Source organism: Homo sapiens, chromosome 8 (genome assembly GCF_000001405.40).
Source record: "Homo sapiens chromosome 8, GRCh38.p14 Primary Assembly".
Classification (NCBI taxonomy): Eukaryota; Metazoa; Chordata; class Mammalia; order Primates; family Hominidae; genus Homo; species Homo sapiens.
Window position 1 is genome coordinate 9,879,234 of NC_000008.11, and position 24,355 is coordinate 9,903,588.

At 46.3% G+C, this 24,355-nt stretch overlaps 2 long non-coding RNA genes and 1 other non-coding gene across 3 annotated transcripts, besides 2 other annotated features; all 3 read right to left on the bottom strand.

Annotated features, from left to right (window-relative positions):
• Positions 1-6,793: 6,793 nt before the first annotated feature.
• On the bottom strand, positions 6,794-12,974 carry LOC124902056 (uncharacterized). Its single transcript, XR_007061165.1, has 2 exons — positions 9,891-12,974; positions 6,794-9,622 (listed from the first exon to the last, which is right to left on the bottom strand). It is a non-coding gene; the product is annotated as an uncharacterized LOC124902056 (long non-coding RNA).
• Positions 17,182-18,064: an enhancer, noted in NCBI's record as "H3K27ac-H3K4me1 hESC enhancer chr8:9753925-9754807 (GRCh37/hg19 assembly coordinates)". NCBI's record gives its function as "activates a minimal SCP1, AML or CMV promoter by ChIP-STARR-seq in naive H9 embryonic stem cells {active_cell/tissue: H9 hESC(naive)}" and the evidence as "EXISTENCE:reporter gene assay evidence [ECO:0000049][PMID:30033119]".
• Positions 18,065-18,946: an enhancer, noted in NCBI's record as "H3K27ac-H3K4me1 hESC enhancer chr8:9754808-9755689 (GRCh37/hg19 assembly coordinates)". NCBI's record gives its function as "activates a minimal SCP1, AML or CMV promoter by ChIP-STARR-seq in naive H9 embryonic stem cells {active_cell/tissue: H9 hESC(naive)}" and the evidence as "EXISTENCE:reporter gene assay evidence [ECO:0000049][PMID:30033119]".
• On the bottom strand, positions 20,831-24,096 carry MIR124-1HG (MIR124-1 host gene). Its single transcript, NR_024281.1, is given in 3 exon segments — positions 20,831-21,053; positions 21,322-21,379; positions 21,456-24,096. It is a non-coding gene; the product is annotated as an MIR124-1 host gene (long non-coding RNA).
• A 58-nt stretch (positions 24,097-24,154) lies between these two features.
• Positions 24,155-24,239, bottom strand: MIR124-1 (microRNA 124-1). Its single transcript, NR_029668.1, has one exon. It is a non-coding gene; the product is annotated as a microRNA 124-1 (primary transcript).
• Positions 24,240-24,355: the final 116 nt, after the last annotated feature.

Consider the following 24,355-nt stretch of genomic DNA (forward strand, 5'->3'; position numbering starts at 1 on the left):
TGGACCTAATAGACCTCTACAGAACTCTCCACCCCAAATCAACAAAATATACATTCTTCTCGGCACCATATCACTTTTATTCTAAAATTGACCACATAATTGATAGTAAAACACTCTTCACCAAATGCAAAAGAATGAAAATCATAACAGTCTCTCAGACCACAGTGGAATCAAATTAAAACTCAGAATTAAGCAACTCACGCAAAACCATACAACTACATGGAAACTGAACAGCCTGCTCCTGTATAACTACTGGGTAAATGACGAAATGAAGGCAGAAATAAAGATGCCTTTGAAACCAATGAGAACCAAGACAACATACCAGAATCTCTGGGACACATTTAAATAAATTTCCCTCTACCCAGTGTGTAAAGGGTAATTTACAGCACTAAATGCCCACAAGAGAAAGCAGGAAAGATCTAAAATTGACACCCTAACATCACAATTAAAAGAACTAGAGAAACAAGAGCAAATAAATTCAAAAGCTAGCGAAAGACAAGAAATAAGTAAGATCAGAGCACAACTGAAGGAGATAGAGACATGAAAAACCCTTCAAAAAATCAATGAATCCAGGAGCTGGTTTTTTGAAAAGATCAACAAAATAGATAGACTGCTAGCCAGACTAATACAGAAGAAAAGAGAAAAGAATCAAATAGATGCAATAAAAAAACAATGAAGGTGATATCGCCAGTGATCCCACAGAAAAACAAACTACAATCAGAGAATACTATCAACACCTCTAGGCAAATATACTAGAAAATACAGAAGAAATGCATAAACTCCTGGAGACATACATCCTCCCAAGTCTAAACCAGGAAGGAGTTGAATCCCTGAATAGATCAATAACAAGTTCTGAAACTAAGGCAGTAATTAATAGCCTACCAACCAAAAAAAGTCCAGGACCAGATGGATTCACAGCCGAATTCTACCAGAGGTACAAAGAGGAGCTGGTACCATTCCTTCTGAAACTATTCCAAACAATAGAAAAACAAGGAATCCTCCCTAACTCATTTTATGAGGCCAGCATCATTCTGATATTAAAACCTGGCAGAAACACAAAAAAGAAAATTTCAGGCCAATATCCCTGATGAACATCAGTGTGAAAATCCTCAGTAAAATACTGGCAAACAGTATCCAGCAGCACATCCAAAAGCTTATCCACTATGATGAAGTGGGCTTCATCCCTGGGATGCAAGGCTAGTTCAACATATGCAAATCAATAAACGTAATACATCACATAAACAGAACCAGTGATAAAAACCACATGATTACCTCAATAGACGCAGAAAAGGCATTAAACAAAATTCAACAGCTCTTCATGCTAAAACCTCTCAATAAACTAGGTATTGATGCAATGTATCTCAAAATAACAACAGCAATTTATGACAAACCCACAGCCAGTAACATACTGAATGGGCAAAAACTGGAGGCATTACCTTTGAAAACTGACACAAGACAAGGATGCCCTCTCTCCACTCCTATTCAACATACTATTGGAAATTCTGGCCAGGGCAATAAGGCAAGAGAAAGAAATAAAAGGTATTCAAATAGGAAGAGAAGAAGTTAAACTGTCTCTGTTTGCAGATGACATGATTGTATATTGAGAAAACCCCATTGTCTCAGCCCTAAATCTCCTTAAGCTGATAAGCAACTTCAGCGAAGTCTCAGGATACAAAATCAACATGTAAAAATCACAAGCATTCCTATACACCGATAACAGACAAATAGAGAGCCAAACCGTGAATGAACTCCCATTCACGATTGCTACTAAGAGAATAAAATACCTAGGAATACAACTTACAATGGATGTGAAGGACGTCTTCAAGGAAAACTACAAACCACTGCTCAAGGAAATAAGAGAGGATACAAATAAATGGAACAACATTCCATGCTCATGGATAGGATAGATTCAATGCTATCCCCATCAAGCTACCAATGACTTTCTTCACAGAATTAGAAAAAAACTACTTTAAATTTCATATGGAACCAAAAAAGAGCCCACATAGCCAAGACAATCCTAAGCAAAAAGAAGAATGCTGGAGACATCATGCTACTTGACTTCAAACTATACTACAAGGCTACAGTAACCAAAAGAACATGGTACTGTTACCAAAACAGATATATAGACCAAAGGAACAGAACAGAGGCCTCAGAAATAGCACCACACATCTATAACCATCTGATCTTTGGCAAACCTGACAAAAACAAGCAATGGGGAAAGGATTCCCTATTTAATAAATGGTGTTGAGAAAACTGGCTAGCCACATGCAGAAAACTGAAACTGGACCCCTTCCTTACACCTTACAAAAATTAACCCAAAGTGGATTAAAGACTTAAACGTAAGACCTAAAACCATAAAAACCCTAGAAGAAAAACCTAGGCAATACCATTCAGGATCTAGGCCTGGGCAAAGACTTCATGACTAAAACATCAAAAGCAAGGGCAACAAAAGCCAAAATTGACAAATGGGATCTAATTAAACTAAAGAGCTTCTGCACAGCAAAAGAAACTGTTATCAGAGTGAACAGGCAATCTACAGAATGGGAGAAAATTTTTGCAATCTGTACATCTGACAAAGGGCTAATATCCAGAATTTACAAAGAACTTAAACAAATTTACAAGAAAATAAACAACCCCATCAAAAAGTGGGTGAAAGATATGAACAGACACTTCTCAAAAGAAGACACTGATGCTGCCAACAAACATGAAAAAAAGTTATCATCACTCATTGTTAGAGAAATGCAAATCAAAACCACAATGAGATACCATCTCACGCCAGTTAGAATGGCAATCATTAAAAAGTCAGGAAACAACAGATGCTGGACAGGATGTGGAGAAATAGGAATGCTTTTACACTCTTGGTGGGAGCGTAAATTAGTTCAACCATTGTGGAAGACAGTGTGGCGATTTCTCAAGGATTTAGAACCAGAAATACCATTTGACTCAGCAATCCCATTACTGGGTACATACCCAAAATTTATAAGTCATTCTGCTATAAAAGACACATGCACACATATGTTTACTGAGGCACTATTCACAATAGGAAAGACTTGGAAGCAACCCAAATGCCCATCAATGATAGAATGGATAAAGAAAATGTGGCACATATACACTATGGAATGCTACGCAGCCATAAAAAATGAGTTTATGTCCTTTGCAGGGACATGGATGAAGCTGGAAACCATCATTCTCAGCAAACTAACACAAGAATAGAAAACCAAACACTGCATCTTCTCAGTCATAAGTGGGAGTTGAACAATGAGAACACATGGACACAAGGAAGCGAACATCACTCACTGGGGCCTATCAGCAAGTGGGGGGCTAGGGGAGGTATAGTATTAAGAGAAATACCTAATGTGGATGACAGGTTAATGGGTGCAGCAAACCACCATGGCACGTATATACCTATGAAACAAACCTGCATTTTCTGCACATGTACCCCAGAACTTAAAGTATAATAATAAAAATAAATAAAAATGAAAAATAACAGATGACAGTCAGATTTAGGGGTGTCCCTGAAACTCAGTGGAGAGATAAGCTCTTCCTGGGAGACAGGGTTGTGAACAGTGCACCGTGTCATCAACCTTTTGCATAGGGAAATAAAAGTGGCCCAAGATGAGAATTTGTGCAAATCCTGGATAGTGACTAAGGAGGTCTGGGGCTGAGGTGTGTGAACGTACACTTGAGAGTGGGCATACAGTGTGAAGGATTCTGTTGCACATATTCATGTCCACTAGGACACATCCATCATGGAAGAGCCTCTGAACAATCAATTAGACAAGATGACTTGGCCCAGTGATGCTGGCTGTCAGTGTCCACCCCAGAACTGGCATGACAGGAACACGAACAGATAGATGGCTGAGGTGTGGAGATGGAGGCTATAAGAGGTCAATGGCATGGCTCCGGCTTACCAGTCTAGCCACTGTGCCTCTGAATGTCAGCAGCACAGTTGCGCCTGCTACGGCGCTATTACCCTAGGACACCAACCTAAAAGGGCCAGTGGTTTGTCTTCACAGGTGTAGATACTTTGGGAATGGATCTGCCTTTCCTGCCCAGAGCATCTCAGCCAGCACTACCATCTGGGGGCTTATAGAATGCCTGAGCCATAGCCATGAGTCCCACACAGCACAACAGCCAACTAAGAGACACACCTCATAGCCCAGGACCATGGGGTTCGCTCACTGCATCACACACTGCAACCCCCTAGGGCAGCTGGCCTCATAGAATGCTGGCATGGCCTTTTCAAGGAGCAACTGAAGTGCTGGCTCAGAGGAAACCCCCACAAGGACGAGGTACCATCCTTCAGTGTGCAAAGACTTGTATATGTCAGTGTGTCCCCAAAAGGAAAGACCCATGAGTCTGGAAACCAAGGAGTAGAAGCAGAGGTGACTTACCACCAGTCTCTAAGACCCACTGGGGGATTTGGGGCTTCCTGCTCTGCGACTCTGGGTTCTGCAGGGTTGGAGGTCCGGATCCAAAAGAGGACACACTCTGGCCAGGAGACACAGCAAGGGTCTTGTTGAACGGCAAGTGGAAGCTGCTGCCGGGACACTCAGGATGCCTCGTTCGCAAGGATCAGCAGGTTAAAAGAGAAATCATCTTATTGGCATGCGTTATTGACCTAATCAGCAGCAGGAGGCAGGGGCTTTTTTACCTAGTGGGGGCGGGGAGGAACAGGGGCAGAACCCAGGGGCTGGGCTCAGGTGCCTCCTGCGGCTCCCTCACCCACTTGTATCTGTGAATACGCAGGTGCAGTCACTCCAGACTGAGCAGGGTATGATTCTAATTTAGACCCTTCAGGAATGAGGGTCATCCCATCAGGTAAGCTACCGACACCTACTGACCTGATAGCTGAGGGTGAGGGGAATTTAAATGCAGGGCGGAGGAGGGGTTAGGATGCTCCAAGACCCTCGGCCGTCACGGGGGCTGTGGTTTGTCGCTCAGGAAGAAAGGCCCCTGGGAACCCTGGAGGAGCTGCTTTCTGAACTTTCCTGGTTGGAGAAATAGATCTGTGTGGGGCAAGGGGGTGGGCGGTGGTGGTAATGAGCATGCGTCTCACGGACCATCATCAACGAGAAGCGTCAACAAATCAAGGGCCCAGGCGGCTGCGCGCAGACATCCATGGCTGTGTGCCCTGGGCTGCCCTCCCCGCGGGCAGCTCCCTGTGAGTGGCTGACTGCTGCAAGGATCTAACGCCGGTTCCTGGAAGACATCCACGGATAGCTGACTTTGGCTGGAGGACTCGCTGACCCTTCCTTAGAGGGCATGCAGTCTGGGACACGTCCACGCCACCTCCTTTCCCTCTCTCCTCTCTCTTCCCTTCCCTGGTTTGCTGTCGGACACGCCATCGCAGCCTATCTTACCTCCCTTCCCATTTTTTTTTTCCTCACACAAGTGCTTTCTCTAATATAACCTTTACACATTTAATCCCGACTTGGCACCTGGTCAGTTGTGTGCTGGTAAATGGATCCCCCCCAAACAAAAGCTCTCATTTGTAGCATTGGCTGATTTCCACGGTATAGGTGGCCCCACCATGGCAGGCTTCTACTAATGGTTCTTGGGAAACTCCCAGGTAGCGGCTTCCATGAGCTGGCACCAGTCACTCCAACGCACCACTTCATGTGCCTCTGGGGGCTGAGAGACACGGAGGGGCGTGAACCCATGGTGGATCCTATGTGCTTCAGGGTAGGATGAGTCAAAATCTGGGGAAGGCGGAGGAGTCGGCTGATTGCCAGCATTTGATCTCAGTAACAGGGTGTCTTCTCGGTGCTTGAAATATCTCTTCGGTGTTTCGGACACTAGAAATCTGACATGCGCCAGTCCTTAATGACATATCCACAGTTCTAGTCATTTGTCTCTGTCCCCCTCAATCCAAGCAGCAATCTGCCATCTGATTAGCCTTCCTAAAGCAGCACTCTGACCATGTAAATGCCTCTGCTAAAAAGCTCCAATAGCTGCCTTTCCTAGGGAGACGTTTCTCTAAACATGTGGAATGCTTTTGAAGGATGTTAATAGGTGTCACGAGAATCCCAGGGCAGCATAATCCAACAAGTTTGGGCAACACTGACTGTAGCAAAATGAGGCAGATATCTTTACGCCAGGATTTACCAATGTAAGCTAGCGTGCACGGCAAATTGGCCATAGGGCTATGCAGCCTTTCTCAAACCTGTTTGTCCATGGCTCCCTTCCTCTGCTTTTTTCAGAGCATCTCATAGAATTAGTGTCCTGTGGAACACTATGGAAACGGTGGATGCGCTGACTTAGAGAATAAAATCCAAACTCCCTAGTCTAGCCTTCAAGGCTCGCCATTGTCTGGATTTCAATGGCTGGCTGACCTTGTTTTCCTTCTGGAACCCTTTGTTCCAGGAAACTTAAACCACTCACTGTGCGTACCCATGGATACTTCACTGCCTTTGATCCTTTCATGTCCTTCCCCTGGTCTCTAATGTCCTTCTTCCTCTTCTTTATATACTGAAATTCATCTATTCTTTCAGGCAGCTCGGTGCCACCTTTTCTATAAAGTCTCATCTGAAACTACATGAATTTGAAAAAAAAAATGTGGTAAAATACACTTACATAAAATTTACCATCTTAATCATTTTTTAAGTATGTGGTTCAGGGGCATTAAGTACCTTCACAGTGTTGTGCAGTCATTACCCCATTCATTTCCAGAACTCTTTTGCAAAACTGAAACTCTGTTCCCATTGACAGTAACTTCCCACTCTTCCATCCTCCCCTCTCCTATCAACCCCCATTTTTATTTCTGTCTCTGAATTTGACTAGGTGCCTCATATAAGTGGAATCATACAGTTTTATTTTTTGTGTGTGATTGGTTTAGTTCACTTCATAGAGTTCATCCCACAAACAAATTCACGAAGGGCATAAAACTGGAAGGTCTCCAGAAGGCTCCTGACCTGGGTCCCCAAGGTCAAGCTTGGCAGCTCCTCCATCCTTCCATGCTCATCCTGGAGCTCAGTGGCCCTGTTGAATGGAGATGTTGAAGGATGAATGGGGAATTGTTTCTCAGCATTCCTGATCCCAACTACTTTGGGAAGAAGACATCCACCCAGCGGACTGCTCTTTCTGTTTTCTTCTTCCACTCAAGGTTCATCTATGTTGTAACACGTACCAGAATTTGTTTCCTTTTAAGGTTGAATAATATTCTACTGTTGATACATAGCATGTTTTACTCATTCATTCATTGGCCAGTGGACACTTGGGTTGCTTCCACATTTTGGCGATTGTGAATAATGCTGCTGTGAACATGGGTGTGCAATTATCTGTCTGAGTCTCTGCTTTCAATCGTTTTAAGAACATACCCGGAAGTGGAGTTGCCGAGTCATATGGTAATTCTACATTTAATTTTTTGAGGACCCGCCATATTGGCTTTCACAGCAGCTGCAACTTTTGACATTCCTGAACCCACACAACCTTTTACCAGCACACTCTGCATTAGTTATTAGTTATACTCCTCAGTATATTTTTAGCCATTTATACAAGTCTTCTCTTTCCTGTATTATAAGTCCCTAAAAGGTAAGAGGCATGACACATTTTTCTTTGCTTCTTCCCAGATGTCGAGAATAGTGCCTTAATGTGGTGCTCACTGATGTTCTGTCCCTTAATATTGAGCCTCACCACTTGCGGGAGGACTGAATTTCTCTCCACACTGACATACTACTAGCAGTTTTCACTAATAGTCACACACATACACACACACACACACACACACCAAAACACACTCACATCATAATCTTTCTACTCTTCATTGTGGTAAATAGAGCCTCTACCAAAGGATAGCAAAGAATCTTCAGACGATTATTGGCACCAAGAATGTCCTCCCAATGCACCAGCATACCTAAAATGTTGGGTGGAGATGGTGCCTTTTCCAGTGGAAGCTACTCATGGCATCAGAACAAACCCACCCCACGGACAAATTCACAAAGGGTGTAAAACTGGAAGGCCTCCAACGGGCTCCTGACCAGGGCCTCCAAAGTCAGGTTTGGCAGCTCCTCCATCTTTCCATGCTCATCTGGAGCTCAGCGGCCCTGTTGAATGGAGATGATGAAGGATAAATGGAAAACTATTCCTCAGAATCCCTGGTCTCGACTACTTTGGGAGGAAGACATCCACCCAGCAGGCTGGTCTTTCTGTTTTCTTCTTCACATTCCTCTTCGCATAGTTACTGTTCCTCTTTTCACAGGTTAACATTTAACTTGGAAAAAAAATTAGCTCCTTAGAATTTCGAGCAAATGTTAATCACTACCAGCAGTCTCCGCTGTCCACCTTACACCTTCTCCTGAGGTGGGCAAGGCTAATTTAGCTTGTCAGTGGAGGTTTTGTCTGCTGTTAACCTCTTCACCTCTTTGTCTTTCCCAAGTTTGTTTGCTTTAGCAGGGTTTAATTGGACTAAGGTTCTGGTCTCAGAGACTTTCAGATCTGGAGCCTTTATTAGATGAGACGAGATCATAGAAAACAGAAGGTAGGGTGGGAGGGCCACTAATTCACCACCTGGCCCACAGGGGAGAATTAAATCCAGAATTAGTGAGACTTGGGAGCAGGGCCTCCCCATTGGGGTTTTCTTCATGTTCCAAACTGCTCTTTGGAATCCATTGTCTCAAGGACCCCTTAGGAGATGAGAGTATAGGCATTACCTGCGTCTCTCTCTCTCTCTCTCTCTCCTTTTTTCATGTTTTAGGGAGGAGAGAGGAAATGTTGGTAGCTTGCTAGGGAGAGAAACAGTACAGTAAGACAGAGGTAGTGTGGTGTTGTGAAAAGCACCAAATGTTGTATATACAACTGGTTAAAAAACAAATAGGTAACAACTTGTGGTCTTCACAACCAGCTTTTGTGGTAATCTGAACTTGGACACAGAGCATGCTGGGACCTTGGCTCCAGGATTGGGACAAATGGTCAGTATTTCAAACCACAGGACTCCAGAGGATGGGGTGAACTTGGGTGTCAAGATCTTCTGAGGAGGGCAAATGGGGAGGTAGAGGCCAATCTGATGGTTTGGAGTTTAGAAATAAGATATTCTACCAAGACCAGCATCACACGGCTTGCTTATTGCACAACTTCAGAGGAACTGTTCACAGCAGATTGGTGGTAGTTGTGGATACCTGTGGTCTTACCTGGCCAGCAGTACCTTTTTCTAGGTGGCTGCCCTCCCTGCCATCCGCAGTTACCATAGGTGCTCCCTGCATGCACTTAACTCCAGCTTGATCAGTTGAGGTTTTCCATCCATTCGGTCAAGTTGACTGGCACAGGGGTGGCCACCTGACCTAAGCTGGGCTATAAAATGCAAAGCTTGGGACATCCCAATGGCCATGTTTCTTGCTGTGAACCTGGGAAGCAGAGGCCAGTTAGCAGAAAAAAAGAAGATTTCAACATCTGCAGAGAGGCGCTGAGATGAGAAACTCAGAAAGAGATGTTCAAGTCAGCGTTTCCGCCTGTCCCTGGGGCACTGGGTTCCATGAGATACTAAATGCCTCTGAGTGTTTCAGCTGGTTCAGATTGGGTTTCTGTCACTTGAAATCATAAGAGTTCTGAAGAATATGCTACAGATCAGGGTGAAGGATGTGAAAGTGCTTTGTTTTCAGTGCTTCATCCGATTTGGAATAGGAGCCTGTGGAGGTTAAATGTAGCTCTCAGGAATCGGAGGCAGGAAAGGTGTAGGAAGGGTTTCAGCAACCCAACCAAGGAGGGAGTTTTGAGGATTTAAGCAAATAAACCAGGTGGTGGGGAGGCACAGGACAATCACTGGGCATGCAGGTGAGCAGGGCACCACCCAATGCAGGACTTAGGAGAGTTAGGCTTTATTCAGTGGGTAATGGGCTGCTGACTCCACCTCATTTGTCAAAACTGCACTGGAGTCTGGGCATGGTGGCTCTTACCTGTAATCCCAGCACTTTGGGAGGCCAAGTCAGGAGGATTGCTTGAGTCCAAGAATTCCAGAGCAGCCTGGGGAACATATCAAGACTCTATCTCTACTAAAAATGAAAAGTAAAATAAAATTAGTCAGGCATGGTGGCATGCCCCTGTAGTCCCAGCTACCTCAGAGGGTGAGGTGAGAGGATCATTTGAGCCCCGGAGGTCAAGGCTGCAGTGAGCCATTATTTTGCCACTGCACTCCAGCCTGGGTGACAGAGAGAGACCTTGTCTCAAAACAAAACAAAACAAAAAAACAAAAACAAACAAGAAAACTGCCTTGGAATTTGCCAAAGTAATGATTGTCATGACAATAGCATCAACAACAACAAAAAACCCAAACCAACACCCCAATTAAGACAGGGCAAAGAAAGGACTTGGACATTTTTTCAAAGAAGGTAAACAAATGGTCAAGAAGCACATGAATAGATGCTCAACATCACTAATCACTAGGGAAGTGAAAATCAAAACCACAATGACATACCACCACACACCCTTTAAGGATGGCTACTATAAACACACACACACACACACACACACCCCACACACACCATAACAAAGATTGGCAAGGATGTGGAGAAACTGGAACCCTTGTACAGTGTTGGTGGGTATATGGAATGATGTAGTATGGTGGGTCTTCAAAAAATTAAAAATAGAATTACCAGGCACGGTGGCTCACACCTGTAATCCCAGCACTTTGGGAGGCGGAGGCTAGTGGATCACTTGAGGTCAGAAGTTCGAGACCAGCCTGGCTGACATGGTGAAACCCCATTTCTACTAAAAATACAAAAATTAGCTGAGCGTTGTGGTGGGCGTCTGTAATCTCAGCCACTCAGGAGGCTGAAGCGGGAGAATCACTTGAACCCGGGAGGCAGAGGTTGCAGTGAGTCAAGATTGCGCCACTGCACTCCAGCCTGGGTGACAGAGTGAGACTCTGTCTCAAAAACAAAACAAAATAAAACAAAGCAAAACAGAATTGCCATATGACCCAGCAATTTCCACCTGCAATCTAGCCCCAAACTTTCCTTCTCCTATATTGTCATTGTACCTATGCTTAATTCTGCAAAACTTCCTCACATCTGGGATGGAGTGGATGCTAATCTTGCCACTTAGGGTGTTCCCTCCACCCCAGATCCCACCTGCCTCTTGAGGTTTCCCCAGCCCTCTCATTGGAAAACATGGCTCTTTCATTTGAACTCTCCTGGCATTTTGACTGTCTGTCTTGTATGGGACTGCTCATATTTGCTTTGTCATAATTGCTAATGTATTTGTCTTATCTACTGGACTGTGTGCTTGCTGAGGGCAGGAAGGGCGTGAGCCTTATTCATCCACAAATTCCACCTAGCTAACATTGGTGATTGACAGGCAGCACAATTTCAATAAAGAGTAGTTGAAAAACATGACTATAGGGGAGGATGAGAACCCTGGTTATTAATGGAATGAGAAATTAGCACAGAATTAAATTTAGGAACATGTACCACACCCATGTCTATTTTCTCCTCATTTGGCTTGTGAATAGGAACAGCTATCAGTCACTAGTGTGACCATGCTAGTCTTGTTATTTCTGCTGCACAGATGTACTGGGTTATTGTTTCAAAGAATAACCCTCCACAAAGGCTTGTTATCCCTGCTCCTTACACACACATGCATGGCAAGACAATCCTGGAGAGCCCGAAAGCCTTCCTAGAATCCCAGTGGGAAAGGTCAGGAAGATGTTCCTGGAAAATGGCCCCTTCAGGGACTGTGAAATTTTACCCTGGATGGGTGCGGTGGCTCATGTCTGTAATCCCAGCACTTTGAGGGGCCAAGGTAGGAGGATCATGTGAGTGCAGGGGTTTGCGACCAGCCTGGGCAAGATGGTAATATCCCCTGTCTACAAAAAAAATTTACAAAATTAGCCAGGGGTGATGGTGCATGTCTGTAGTCCCAGCTACTCAGGAGGCTGAGGCGGGAGGATCCCTTGAGCCCAGGAGTATGAGGCTGCCGTGAACTGTGATTGTGCCACTGTACTCCAGCCTGAGCAACAGAATGAGACCCTATCTCAAAACATAAATAAAATTGTTCCCTGCTATGGTCTGAATGTTTGTGTCCCCCCGCCATTCATATGTTGAAATCCTGACCCCTTGCGGTGATGGTGTTAGGAGGTGGAGGCTTTTGAGGGGCAATGAAGTTGTGAAAGTGGAACCCTCATGAATAGAACTAGTCCCCTTATAATAGGCCCAAGAGAGCTCTTTTGCCCCTTCTGCCATGTGAGGTCAGTGAGAAGGCGCCATCTATGAACAAGGGAGTGGACCCTATCAGACCCCAAATCTGCCAGTGCCTTCATCTTGGACTTCCCAGCTTCCAGAATTGTGAGAAATTTATTTCTGTTATTTTATTTTATTTTTGAGACAAGGTTTCACTCTGTTGCCCAGGCTAAAGTGCAGTGGCATAATCACGGCTCACTGCAGCCTCGACCTCCTGGGCTTAAGCAGTCCTTCTGCCTCAGCCTCCTGAGTAACCAGGATCACAGGCATGCACCACCGCACCGGGCTTATTTTTTAATTTTTATTTTTTTGTAGAGATGGGGTCTCTCCATGTTGCCCAGGCTTGTCTCAGACTCCTGGGATAAAGTGATCCTCCCACATCAGCCTCCCAAAGTCCTGGGATTACAAGTATGAGGCACCATGCCTAGCCCTCTGTTGTTTATAAGCCACCCAGTTTGTGGTCTTTTGTTACAGCACCCAGAAAGGACTAAGACATATTCCAAAGAGGCCCTGAACATGCGGAGCCTGGACTCATCCATTACACAGGCCATGCACAGAACAAATGACAGGCCTGGCTTCAGATTTGGCATCTGAAAAAAGAGAAGGAGCTGCTCCTTGGGCCTAAGGGTAATGGCAGTGAGTATTTACTGAGCACTTACCATGTGCCAAATAGTATGCTCCACCTGCACTGTGTGGTAGATACTAACCATGTGGCTATTAAGTACTTGAAATATGCTCAGGGCTGGCGGTGGTGGCTCACGCCTGTAATCCCAGCATTCTGGGAGGCCGAGGTGGGTGAATCACCTGAGGTCAGGAGTTCGAGACCAGCCTGACCAATATGGCGAAACCCCATTTCTACTAAAAATACAAAAATTAGCTGACCGTGGTGGCACATGCCTGTAATTCCAGCTACTTGGGAGGCTGAGGCAGGACAATCGCTTGAACCCAGGAGATGGAGGTTGCAGTGAGCCAAGATCACGCCACTGCACTTTAGCCTGGATGACAGAGTGAGGCTCTGGCTCAAAAAAAAAAATATATATATATATAAAATATATATAATATATAATATATTTTATAATATATTATATATAAATATATATAAAATATATATATAATATATACATAGCATATATATGCTCAGTGCAACTGAAGAGCTGAATTTTTAATTTAAATTAAATTTTAATTTAAATTAATTAAAATTTAATTTAATTGTTAAATTTAAATTTAAATTTAAATTTGAAAACAGATACTCTATTCAGTTATTAGAAAATATTTAAGAATGGTTGGAACTAACATGGGTATGTGAATGTACTTTTTCAACTATTATATAAATCTTATGAAATCTAAATAAGAAACAAGTATTTCTGATGAAAATTTAGCATCTGAATTGAGATGCATTGGGAGTATAAAACACACATCAGATTTTGAAGATTTAGTATGAATAAAAGAATGTTAAACTTCTCATTAATATGTATTATTTTTTGAGATGGGGTCTTGCTCTGTCACCCAGGCTGGAGTGCAATGGTGTGATCATGGCTCACTGCAGCCTCAAACTCCTGGGCTCAAGTGATCCTTCCCCCTCAGCCTCCTGAGCTGCTGGGACCACAGATGTGCACCATCATGCCATTTTTGATTATATGTATTGGGTTAAATAAAATATATGATTAAAATTAATGTCATATGTTTCTTTTTTATTTTTAAATGTGTGGCTACTAGAAAATTTTAAACACCACATATGGCTTGTGTTTTATTTCTATTGAACAGCGCTCCGTGATATGCTGAATATTTTCACATGCATTATCTCATTTCCTCCTGACAATAACCCTTTGAAGTAGATAGCATCATTATATCACCTTCTTACAGAGGATGCTCAGAGAGGTTTAACAACCTACGCACAGTTACACAGCCTGGTGGTAGCGCCGGGGACCAAGCAGACGTAATGTGATAACCAGGCTGGCGGTCATAGCGGGCTTCGCTTTCTCTGGGGGCTGAGGCCTTAACATCCAGGGGCTTTTCACGGAATCACACAGAGTGTTACAGTCTCAAAGGCTCTCATAGGCATTCCTTTTGGTAATATTTTTGGAAGATGCTATACATACAGTAATTTTTATAGCTCTGATTTGGCATTTCTGAATGTACTGGAAGCCTCAAAAAGAAAAAAAAAGGAAGGTACCAAGTCTGTCTGGGCTTCTGAGAGGCCCTGGGATCACATTAAATAATTTTCCTAGCTGCTCCCACATGCTGTCTTGGATAGGTTTTGGTCAATAGTGTGATGAGTGATTCGGGAATCAGATAGGACAGGTTTAGTACAATAGAAAAGCAGTCCAGTCCAGGCACAGTGGCTCATGCCTGTAATCCCAGCACTTTGGAAGGCTGAGTGGGGCAGATCACCTGAGGTCAGCGGTTTGAGACCAGCCTGGCCAACAGGGTGAAACACCATCTGTACTAAAAATACAAAAATTAGCCAAGCATGGTGGCGCACGCCTATAATCGCAGCTACTCAGGAGGCTGAGGCAGGAGAATTCCTTGAACCTGGGAGGCAGAAGTCGCAGTGAGCCAAGATCATGCTGCTGCACTCTAGCCTGGGTGACAGAGCGAGACTCCATCTAAAAAAAAAAAAAAATAAGCGAGGCTACCAACCTTCACACTATGCTGTTGCTGTTGATTAATTGTCCACATGAAGGCGGCAAGATGCTGAGGTAGGAGTAGAAGGCTGGAAAGAAGGGAGAGATAATTGACATTTCCAAAGGCAAAGTTTTCTAAGAGGCTGGCTGGAGGCTGGGAAGGCTCTCACTCTCCCTGAAAGTCCTAACACATCTGCTTCTTGCCCCACGAGAACTTGCTCCTGGGTGCTGGCTTTGCCATTTGCGGGAAGCTCAGATGCACTGAGAATGGGACATGGGACAGGGTGCTTGGAGAGCCGGGGCTGCAAGGACATGAGAGAGTTCCGGTTAAGCAAGGGAAGGAGCTGGCTGAGGATGGGAGAGTGACCAAAACCAACCCAGGGAAGTGTCCAGTCCCAAGTTCCAGCTTTGCCTGGAGCCACTTTGCATCTACCTTGGGTTAGCAGGTTGAAGTGGGCTTACTGTGTCACATAGTCTGGTATTTAATCAAATAATTCCTTAAATATAATTCATGGAAGCCGAGCACGGTGGCTTATGTCTGTAATCGCAGCACTTTGGGAGGCCGAGGCAGGTGGATCACTTGAGGTCAGGAGTTCGAGACCAGCCTGGCCAATGTGGCAAAACCCCATCTCTACTAGAAAATACAAAAATTAGCTGGGCATGGTGGTGCACGCCTGTAATCCCAGCTACTCTGGAGGCTGAGGCAGGAGAATTACTTGAACATGGGAGGCGGAGCTTGCAGTGAGCCGAGATTGCACCACTACATCATTCCAGCCTGGGTGACAGAGTGAGACTCTGTCTAAAAAAAAAAAAAAAAAAAAAAAAAAACAACTCTTGGAAATAGCAAAATCAGAATTCACGATTATGCAAAGGGCTGGCTTCAAATTTGCAAAGATGCAGTAGCCTTGACCTAGACTGATATCTACCTGTCATCACAGGTATCGACATCACAGATGTCCCTGCCAAAAGCTTGGGGTGCTCCTACCAGTTGGTACTAATAGAGGAGGCAGAGGACAGAGCAAGCCATGAGGATTCATTAGGCTTCTTTACATGTGTTTTCCTGTTGTGTTATGTTTAAAAGGTTGAGCACCCATGTGTCTGGAACAAAGGAACAATGATGTTATCCTCAAGCAGAAAGTGGAGGCTCTGATGTGATTCTTCCTTACTGCTTTTGGGAGCCTTTATAAGAAACTCCTACAATTAGACTTGGTAGGTAAGTGCCTCTTTTCTTTCTTTCTTTCTTTCTTTCTTTCTTTCTTTCTTTCTTTTCTTTTCTTTCTTTCTTTCTTTCTTTCTTTCTTTCTTTCTTTCTTTCTTTCTTTCTTCTTTCCTTCTTTCTTTCTTTTTTTTTTTTTTTTTGAGAGTTTCTCACTATTGTCTCCCTGGCTGGAGCACAGTGGCCCGAACACAGCTCACTGCAGCCTCATCCTCTGGGGCTCCAGCGATCCTCCCACACTTAGCCTCCTGAGTAGCTGGGACTGTAGCTGGGATTGTGCCCCATCACGCCCGGTTAATTGTTTTGTTTTTTTTGTAGCGATGGAGTCTTGCCATATTGCACAGGCTGGCCTCAAACTCCTGGGCTCAAGTGATCTTCCCTTCTTGGCCTCCCAAAATGCTGGGATTACAGTCATGAACCACCATGCCCACCTCTTCTAAAATGTTAAATATCTCTGGGGAAGTTAGAAGACTTGTTCAAGTGGCTCACGTGTTAGTATGAAATGCTTTAACCTCACTGTCTTTATCCTAATACCTCTTGAGCATTGAGAGTATAGATATTTTCAAGGGGCTGGGGGAAGGAGAGTAGAAGGAAATAGAAGTTGATTATAGTTGTTGTTGTTGTTGTTGTTGTTAGTCTTGTTTAGAGGGCATACCCCACTGGGAAAGGCCTCGGTTGAGATGTGAATTGGAGTGGTGACAAGAGAGATTTGAATATGAGGATCTTTGAAAGTTAAAGTGCTCTCGAAGGACGATAGAAGGGTTCTAAAAAAGAGTTTTGTTTTTTTTTTTCCCTCTTGTTTTCCCAGAAATTCTGTCTGGGACTGGGCACGGTATGTGGGGTCTTTATGCTTGGACTATTTTAAAAATAAAACTCAGCTGGGTGCGGTGGCTCCTGCCCGTAATTCCAGCACTGTGGGAGGCCAAGGCGAGTGGGTCACCTGAGGTCGGGATTTCAAGACCATAGGCAGTCCTTTGGTAATATTTTTGGAATATTACCAATTCACGTGGCCGACATGGTGAAACCCTGTCTCTATTGAAAATACAAAAAATGAGACAGGCATGGTGATGCATGCCTGTAATCCCAGCTCCTCGGGAGGCTGAGGCAGAAGAATCTCTTGAAACTGGGAGACCGAGGTTGCAGTGAGCCGAGATCATGCCACTGCATTCCAGCCTGGGCAACAGAGCCAGACTCCATCTCAAAAACAAACAAACGAGCAAACAAAAAAAGAAAAGAAAAGAAAAGAAAAGAAACTCCATGCCTCTGGACAAGCTAGGCAGGGGCTGAGGATAGAAGATGAACCAGAAACACTGTTAGCCCCCTCCTTTCCTAGGACGCCACTCTAACTAGCCTTTGCCCAGGAGGCCTTCATGCCTAATTGTAGCTTTCAACAGGAAAAGCAGGACAGCTGCTGCTAATTTAATTACATCCAATTTGGGTGGTATTTATTGAGCCTTCTGCGTAAGGCACCTTCTTAACAATGTCCCAGCCCTCCACCACAGTCACCACCCACCTCCCCCCTACGACAAATCTGACCATAGGATTTCCAGGCGGAGAAGAAAACCTCCCACCTCGGGCTTCATCTGTAGGGGCCGCAGTCCAAGCCAGCGGCTCTGACGTTTTGTTTTCTCTGCATTCGGTTCTGATGCCGACACTGCGCAGGTTGTTACGGAACTGCTAGAGATAAGTGTGAGGGCACATTAAGGCATGGGAGGCATTCTTTCCAAGGGGGGAAGGAGAGGAAGCAGACAAAGAAGGGCCTCTGCTGTCGTTAGGATTCTCACTTGTATGTTTCTGTTTCCAGAGCACCAGTGATGGGAAGTGTTTGCTTCTGTGAACTCAAGGCACAAAAAACCAAGGCAAAAGAACACTTTTTAAAGGCTCTCGCCCCCAGTTGCATCAGCTCCATCAAGCAGGGTTGCGCAGTGCAAGGCTGGAATGGTTTCCAGGGCCTCTGTGGGGGACGAGGGGAGAGCTGCCCTCCTCATCTCTGAAAATAGTGCTTTTTCAAGTTTCCCTCCTTGAAATGTGGAATGACATCCTCCAAGCACCCTGTTTGAATCTATGGTGTTATGTATATGTGGTGGCTTTAAGACAGTCTCGGAGGGGCTCCTAGGGAGGTGGGGAGGGGAGCCCTGATGCCGGGGCACCTTGCTTGCTTTTGATGGAAAACTGCTCTCCAAAAATGGCTCCAGAGAAAGCAAATCTTAGGATAGTGAAGCGAGAGTGGAGAAGCTTAGATTCCTTTTTAAATGGAAATTATGTCCACTGCAAAGAAGACATTTCCCTCAAAAGGGGGAAAACGTCTTAAAGACACCTCCGCCAGCTCAGCTAGCGCTGGGACACAAGCAAAATGCCTGACGGGCCGGTAAATCATCTTGGGAGGACAGAGTTTGAATAGAGGGGAAGGCAGAAAAGCAGAAGCCCGGCATAGTGTGAGCTGATTCCAGCAAAGGCTGAGAGCAGCAAGGGGCCTGGGCTATGGGATACATAATTGGCTAACGAATAATAAAGCCAAAATTGGATATTAACAGCAATTAATTTCTGTAGAGGCACTGGGGAAAAGAGCTGCAGAAAACCCCATTGGGCCTTAAGCCGAAGCAATCTGAAATTAAACCAGTGTCTCAATTAAATGGGAATAAATATTGCCACATCAATCTGTGTAGAGTGGGAGGGGGCTGACAGAAGCCCCCCGTGCAGCTCAGGGCACCTTTCTGCACGTCCGAAGCTCTCGGTGGCACAGCCTCAGTCAGGCACATCCTGGTCCTGACCTGTGGCCTGTAGAGGCCACCCGGCCCATGACCTTGAGGCCAGGGCTCTGAAAGTTATTTCAGGGGACGGCCTGTTGACCCAAAGGGACCTTGCATCACTCACTGCACGCTGATGGACCCAACAGATGAGGAAATGGAAGGAATTGAGTTTTTTTTGCAAACAGAGACCGCGTCCTAATGGCAGCAGCGGTTGCATTTGCAAGGAGATTCATGGAGACAGAAAGAGCCTTCTGCGCCTTCCTTCCAACCGACTTCGAGCGGCTCCGTCCCCTCCGGCTTCGGATCTGGAACTAACGCTGACTAAGGCCGAAGGAGGAATGTGTCTTTTTCTTTGTGGGTTGAAGATTTTTGTTGTGGTTTTGGCTTCTGTGGAGAGGGTTGCGGGGGTGGGGAAGGACGGTGTTTGGGGATGGCGAGGACACGTCTCTGGGTCCTGGGGGAAGATGCCCGCTCCCTGGCCGGGTCACTGGGGGTATCCGGGAGAGGAGGCTGGATGTATGGGCGGGGCGTCCTAATGGGGAATCCAGGAGGATGCACTGAGACGGACCCCCCACTCCAGCAAATAAAACCCAACCCCCAAGCGCTTTCGCGGCGGGGTCCTCTTCCCAGGCTGCACCTGCCAGCCCCTCTTTCTTGCAAGTTCTGAGGCTTTCCGGGATGCACGGTGGGGTCCTCGAGGCCGCAGGTACTGAAGTGGATCAGAGAGAGGCCCGGAGCCGCACTGCGGGCGCCGGGCGCACAGGCTGACCGGCTGCACGGCCGGGAGGGCGCGGCTTCTAGGCCCAGGCCTGCGGCTGGGGAGCGCTGTGGGTGGCCAGGGGAGGACGTGACCTCCCGCCCAGGCCTTCGGTCTGGCTCGGCCACCCTTGGAAGCAAAGGATGTACCCTCGTCTCAATTCGTCCCGCTTCCTGCCCCCGACTCCGGAAAAATCTCTAACGTTGACCGTCGAGTGTCCATCTGGCGCTAGAGTGAAATCGATGTGCATGGAAAATGGAAAAATGACCTCTCCGGGGACAGTCCCTGGCGTTTGTAGCCCTGACCTCTTCGCCTCCCCCTCGCCTTAGAACTTGGGCTTGGGGCTCATCCTAGAAAGACCCTGAGACTAACCCGCATCTACCCACACCTCGGATGGATCCAAAGCTTTGGGAACTGCAGGAGGACCCGAATCTTAGGAGTTCCAGGTCTGCATGATTCGGGAGAGAGAGAGAAAGGGAAAAAAAAAATCAAGACTGGGAAATGGGAGCAAAAAAGAAAAGGGAAACCAGCGCCTGCTCATCTTCTCCTTGCTTCATGGAGAAGTCTCGGGTGCATTCGAAGAGAAAGAGACGAGAATGCCTCTTGCGTGCTGGGAAGCGAGTCACTTGAGAAGCCCTGGGCGCGGTCCCGGCCGACGGGGCCCGAAATGGGGCCCGCGCCCACAGTCGCGGAGCCGCAAGTTGCCGCAGAACCGCCCTGGGAACATCACGCGAAGTTGCAACATGCACTTGCAGCGGAAGTATTGCCTCTTGGACCCCAGGTCTCAGTATTTTGTGTGTGCTTAAGCAACAAATAGGTTGGATTTGAATTTCAAAAGAACCCTCCCACTGTAATTTTGAGAGAGAAAGCCCTTAGTGATTCTGGAAGTTTGTTTTCTGGGCTTCCCGGCCCCTGACCCAGGCCCTCAGGTCTTGGTAGCGTTTCTATTTTAAGACAAAAGGGAGAAGGACAGGAAATAAAAAGATGAACCTATTGAGAGTTGCTGACACTTTTATTTCTGACCTGGAACATTCCTTGCCCTCAATAAGGCCTGATTTTTTTTTTTTTTTTTTTTTTTTTGAGGCCATCTAAATTTGGTGCTGGAAGATCATTCCAGACCTTCTACACAGCTCTATAAGGCAAAAAGCCGCACACATTGCCTCCCATAAATTCCGTTTGAAGTCCTTTCTTCTATGTCTACATTTGTGATGCAATTAAGTATTGAATACATTTTCTTTAAAAAAAAAAAAAAAGCTGAGATGAGATTGAGAAAGACTTGGCAAAACACCCAATGAAAGAATTGTAGATGGGACTTGGGAAAAAAAGTCTTTATTAGGTACCATCATTCTCATTCTTGTTATTATTGACATCCTCGTCACTGTGAATCAGCCAGCCCAGCCTCCAACACACATACCACCAGCACAACTCCTCATGTTGACTCGTGGGCCCTGAAACCACCCACAGAGTAGATGAGGAAAGGGAGGCTCCATCTGTCCTAGGGAGAACGCTTTGCAGCTGCCCCCAGAAGACTCCATTCTAAGGTTGGAATGGGAGGAGGATATTATGTAAGTTCAAGAGGAGGAAAGAGAAAATGTTTTCTCTGTGGAAGCAGCATAGATGGATGGACTTTTGGTGGCTAAATGCCTTCCTCTAAATGCTAGCATTGGATACGGTTATGCGGGAAAATATATGTGTGCATATGGGCACACCCCTCCTCCGAATATCTCTCTGGCAAAAGCTCCTCATACATTCACAAAAGCCGCCCCCCTCCCTTTGGTAACAGAAGTAACTTACAGGAGTTTACCTTTGCCTCTGCTAGAAGGTCAATCTCTTTTCCGCTTAAGAGGAGATCTGGGCTGTTTCTGGCAGGGGAAAGAAGAGTATCACCAATTTTTCCTTTGACACATTTCTAAATCTGGAAGTATCTGGTAGAGTTACCTCAAGAATCATATAAGCTTGCATCACGATGGGGACTGTGATGGCAGTGGTGCATATGAGCCCATCAGGTCCTTCTTCGCGTATTCAGTCAGCAAACTGCCTCAACCGTGTCCTACTTTTTCTTAAGCATATAATTCCCCTTTCATTTAAGCCAGACTGTAGCTAGAGGGGCTCAAATAGGTAAGAGAGAAGATACTAAAGAGTTAAATGCACTCAAAGGGGAGAACTATTCAGATTTCTTATAAAATTACTGGTGGCATAAATAGGCCCCAAATACAGAAGGGAAGGGCTGACCTTCACTCGGACACCTCATTTGAGCACAGAAGGGGCCTGGCAATTACACATGGGGCCAAGTGGTCTATTCATCTCTTTGCCATTTTCAGCCATTAAAGCCCTACATAAACATACATTTCATAATGAGACCCACCCGGTGGACACAGGCAAATGCCCACACCCATGCGCACAGACCTAATAGACCCAGAACACTCCCACACACATTAAAGCTTTCTGGAACAAGAGTTTACATAAGTAATGAAGTAAAAAATATGCCCCTCCCATCATAGATTATCTGCAGCAGAAACCTGGCAGGCGTCAGCCATGGTACCTGTGGTTTAAGCTCTCAGCTTAAAGCATCTGAAAGGGGCATTACGTGGGAAGGCATCTGGAGGTTTTACAGGAGGGCAGCACATCAGCGAAGGGTACAGCAACCTCTGAAGGAATTACGGGGAAGCAGTTACTAAAAAGAGGCTCGTCAATGTGGACGTTTGTGGGGCAAGGGGTTTAGTAATCGGAGGCTTAAACCATGCCTAAGAGAAGCATCCAGCGGCCTTCACAGTGAGCAGAAGGGGCAGAGCAAGGCGCTTCACACCCCAATAAGGCCCAGCACTGACTGCTTTCTTCTTCCCAAACCTGTCCAGAAAGGGCGGAGGGGACACCAGGACTCAGAAAGCTACTGGTTTCGGGGGAGGTATATTTTGAAGGCAACGGCAAATAGACAAGGGCTTGTGAAGGCTCAGGGGTGAGAGAAGCTGTTCTCCCTTTCTGTCCTGCAGCCAAGCTTGCCTTCTGGGACTCCAGAGGCAGCCCAGCACCTGCAGTCTGCAGGATGTGCACTGCAGCTTTCTCTCTGCGGGGGCAAGCAGGTTGTGCCACATTCTGCAGACCCAGAGAAGGTTCTGGAAGTATCTAGGTGAGGTGCAACACACTTAACCTCTGCCTGACTCTAAACACTGCTTTAGGAGGGCAAATGAAGAGCCTAAGAGTTAATAATTACACAAGGATTGCACACAGTAGGTACTTAATAAATATTTGGGGAAACTGAGGCCGGGGAGGGGCCCTGATCCAAGGCATCACTGAATACTAATTTATTTAGCAGGCTAGACTGAGGCTTTGGAGAGGAAAGAAGTCCTCAGTAAGCTTCAGTGGAGACTCTTAGGGCTTGATTATTGTGTCAGGAATCAAATTAATCTCCTAAGCATCCCTTATGGCCTTGGCCTTGCAAAGCCAGGCCTCTGCCATGCTCGGGGGAAGGGATGCAGCAGGCTTCCTGGGCAGAAGGATCCAGCTCTTGGCCTCCTTTCTCTGCTCCTCCCTCTACTGCAGGGACCTGCCCCTCCTCCATTTCCTCCACCTGGAAATTAATGAGCTTAGGTCTTGCCCCATCCGCTGCAGCTTGGTGGTTAATACAGAGCTGGAAATGGGATGAGACTGTGGCAGCGCAGTACGAGGGGGGTCTCTAGGACCAGCTGCTGCTCAGGGTCTAGTGATGGGAGGAAGGCCTGATTTGGGAAGCAGGTTCTTCAGGATGAAAAGCTTAACCCTTTCCATTCCCTGACAGCCTCTTTCAAAACAGTCTTTCCTCAGACCCCCAGTTGCACACATTCTGTTTTTCCTTCTGTTCACATTTTTAAAGGAACACATGTCTCCCTTGGGTCCATGTAGGTTATTGTGCCTCTCCCTTCCTCTGCAGCTCCTGGATCTCTGCCTGAAACTGCAATAACAGCTACAGGGAGGGCGTGAGGTGCTCCTTAGAGCCATGACCACGCTTTCAACTCCGATAGAGCTTGTGAACCCGCTGGGAGCTGGCTCCTTCTTGTCCACATAGCCCAACGACTTCCTTAAGCTTGTCAGGTGCTCTCAGCTCTACAGCAAAGTGTGACAAACAGCTCCCCCTCTCCCTTCCTACCGCCTGCCCTCCTCCCCAAACCTCAAGCAGAACACAATATATCCGCAGTCCAGGCCCTGAGGCAGTCTGCCAGTCTCTGGATGCCAAATTATTATTTTTTTAAGGGCAAACCAAAAAACTCAGCTCAGAACAAAAACACAGTCACGGAGGAAGGTGTTGACCCACATACAATGAGTCCTGAGCCCAGAGAAAAATCTGCACACACAAGCACTCCGCAATGCGCTCCCAGGCGACCCCCTCCCCACGCACACCGCATCTGTGCTGCACAGATCTGCTTCTGTCACAGAATCAGCTTCTGTTTCTCTCCCTGAGTCTGTTTGCATCTCTAAGCCCCTGTCTGTCACAGGCTGCACACCTCCCCACCCCACGGGCTCCGGTGCGGGACAGGCAGCCGGAGGGAGCTCCAGACCCCTCCCCTCGCGCCCGCGGCCGCTGCGCGGAGGTCTGCGGAGGGCGCCTGGCTCGGTCGGTCGCTCCTTCCTTGGCGGGCCCTCGCCGACCCACGGTGCTCAGCCAGCCCCATTCTTGGCATTCACCGCGTGCCTTAATTGTATGGACATTTAAATCAAGGTCCGCTGTGAACACGGAGAGAGAGGCCTTTCTCCTGAGGAAGGAAAGGAGGAAGGAAGGAAGGAAAGGTGAAAGAAAGGAAGAGGGGTGGGTAGAAGATGGAATAAGAAAACCAGGAAAAAGAAATAAAAAGCGGCGCGTGTGC